The 3,122-nt window shown below is 46.0% G+C and overlaps 1 annotated feature.

The window, feature by feature from the left end:
• Positions 1 to 110: a silencer, noted in NCBI's record as "silent region_17399". NCBI's record gives its function as "represses an Ori minimal core promoter by ATAC-STARR-seq in GM12878 lymphoblastoid cells {active_cell/tissue: GM12878}" and the evidence as "EXISTENCE:reporter gene assay evidence [ECO:0000049][PMID:35858748]".

The following is a 3,122-nucleotide window of genomic DNA, read 5'->3' as shown; positions in this document are numbered from 1 at the left end:
GCTAGTGCTTAGTGATTGACTGCACAGCTCGGACTACGGGATCCAGGACCCTTCCCAAAGCGAGCCGTACTTTTTTAAACCACTAGATGGCAGTACAAGCACAGCCTTCCAAGGACCCCTTAACGTTGCCTGCTCACAGCAGTGACGGGAGAGTTTTCCTACCCAGGCAGGGTGAGTCACCGCACAGCTCCAGGGTGTGGTGTCACTGTCAGTGTGTTTGGTAATCTGGAGTTTTCTCTGTGCTCTCCAGCCTCACCAGAGGCTGTGTAGTTTTGCTGGGGAGATACCTACTATGGGATCTTGAATATAGTCAATGAGAGAAGAGCTTAACTGGACTCCCCACTGTTTAAATACCAAGTCATTTCCATCCTTATGAATAAGCAGGGCCACTCGGATCCAGAAGGCGACACTCCAGATCTCCTCAACTACAGAAGCAACTCCCCAGGCTGCAAACACTCCAATCCCTTCCGCGTTGTGACCACCTGTAGAGTACGAGCTGTTAAAACGAAACCAGAGACTCAGAGGTAGGGATTTACTGGCAGCAAATTTCTTCCAAAACATGATGTTTAGCACGCATCTCAAAGCATCTTTTAGGATCATCCAGCCTGCTTGCCTCTAGAAAGGAGCACCCTGCACCAATGTTATTAATATTAGTTAATGCACATTGAACACACAGTAAGTGCTACATTATATACTTTATGTAGATTACCTCATTTAATCTCACAATGGCTATGAGAGGTAGGTGTTACGAATGGCCCTATTTTCAAACAAGAAGGCTGAATATTAGAAAGGTGAAGTGACTTGCCCAAGCCCCAGAATTTGAAATCAGGGCTCTCTAATTGAAAGTTAGAATTTGACTCGTGATATTAGTGTTTAGCACATTGTTTAACAGGGCATAGCATCTCACTTCTCCCATCTCTGCCACAGAAGGTTGCACACCCATGTTCTGGTTCAGAATTCTTTGGTGAGGTCAAGCAAGATGGCAGGAGGGAGAGCCTGAGCTGACCCTCCCTACCAGCCTGGGACCTGAATGCAGTTCCTACAGGCCTGGTTCAGCGGAGGTTCAGCTCAACAGCCCCATCCCTAGGGCCAAGGAGGCTTAGCAATCATCAGTTTTGTTCCTGACAAACAGAAGGCTGAGATGGCCCAGATGAAGCGGGGGGAGGGGTGGCTCAGCAACACACCCAGTACATATGCAGCGATTCCTGTGTGCTTGCCTCATCTTAGTGAGTGTCCTAGTCCATTTCGGCTGCTATAACAAAATACCTGAGACTGGGTAATTTATAAAGAAAAGGAATTTATTTCTCCCAGTTCTGGAGGTTAGGAAGTCCAAGATCAAGGTGCTGGCAGGTTCAGTGTCTGATGAAGGCTCATTCCTTCCTCATAGATGAGGCCATCTAGGTGTTGTCACCTGGTGGAAGAGCAACAGAGGAGTCTAAGCTGGCTCCTTCCAACCCTCTTACAAGGCACTAAACCCTTCATGAGGGTGGAGCCCTCACTACTTAAACACTTCCCAAAGGCCCCACCTCTTAAGACAATGCAGTGCAGATTAAGTTTCAACACATGAATTTGGGGGACATTCAGACTATAGCATGAGTTTTATCAAATGTCAACCCCTGTTTCTTCTTTGTGTCTCTGGATTGAAACTTTACTTAGCTCTTAGATTCATTTTGAAGATAACATAGTGCAAGATCGATTATCTTAATTCCACTCATGGAAACACAACCTGGAATTATAAATCTTCCTCTAGGTTTATTTCCCAAATGCTTGTTCATGATGATTCTTTCACTGGTCTGCATCAAAATGAGCACAAAAGAACAATGTGGTAAGTTTTTCATAAAGCTACTTTGAGATTTACAAGATAATTTCTTGTTTTGAGATTCTGTCCTTCCTATTTCTTCATGACTAAAATGTTTCTCTTAGGGAGGAATGGAAGTTGATTTATATCTAATGATGTCCCCTGGCAAGATAAAAACTTGGCAAGCCAATGGCTCTCTCCTGTTTTCGTTTTCTTTTTCTTTTTTTAAGGCAGGGTGTCATTTCGTTGCCCAAGCTGGAATGCCCAGAGTCTTGTTTTGTTGCCCACGCAGTGTGATCACGGCTCACTGCAGCCACAACCTCCAGGCTCAATCAATCCTCCCACCTCAGCCTCCCAAGAAGCTGGGCCTACAGGTGTGTGCCACCACACCTGGCTAATTTTTTCTTTTTTGTAGAGATGGGGTCTCACTATGACTGGTCTCGAATTGTACTCAAGCAATTATTCCACTTTAACCTCCCAAAGTGCTGGTATTACAGGCACTGGGCCTTCTTTTCCTTTTTAAAAAATTTTACAGATCAGAATCTGGGAATCGCAGCTCTGGGCAGTATTCAAACTTCGTTCACCTGAGCACCTAAGAGGTGTTTTATATACTGTCATCTAGTGGTCATCCTAGCTCACCCTCGCCAACTCTTCCCTTTGAGAACACAAATGGTAGGACTATGGAGCCCCGACGTGTGTGTGTGTGTGTGTGTGTGTGTGTGTGTGTGTGTGTGTGTACATTAAGATGCTGACAGCAGAGATGTGTTAGCGTAAAAAAATGCAGGTTTTGAAGATTGCGTAGAAATATTCAGAGTGAACAAACCTCTGGCACCAGACTCATGTGGGCCGAATTGAAAGCAGGTGCGTGGGATTAGCACTCTATTTTTTCCAACACACCTAGAGGGCAGTAGCACAGAGACATTCATGCTCAGGAGTGTTATCAGCTAATAGGACATGAAAAGTTCTAGAGGAAAAGCCTTCAAAACTGCAACCAAATATGTTCACAATTGAACAACAGAAAATACCCCTTCAAACGCTCAGAAGACCCGTCAACCTTTCAAAAATGGGTAAGTATATATTTCTTCAAGAGCCTGGCACCCTAGAGGCAGGAGGGGGGTGGTGCGGGTTTGCAAGTGTCAGGCAGTCCTTGCCTTTTGAGTATCCTCCATGTACACATGGCCTGTCCACTAGTGCTCCCACGTCCACCTCTGTCCTGCCCTCCAAGGCTGCTGCAGTCTCTGCAGCTGTCTCCCCTCGGTCTCCCATTGACATCCTCCTCCCAGCCAGCCGCTCCCCGTCCAGACAAAGGGGACTCCATTTCTCA

This window comes from Homo sapiens, chromosome 6, assembly GCF_000001405.40.
Source record: "Homo sapiens chromosome 6, GRCh38.p14 Primary Assembly".
Classification (NCBI taxonomy): Eukaryota; Metazoa; Chordata; class Mammalia; order Primates; family Hominidae; genus Homo; species Homo sapiens.
The sequence above is the reverse complement of the archived record's forward strand: the minus strand, read 5'-3'. Positions and strand labels throughout refer to the sequence as shown.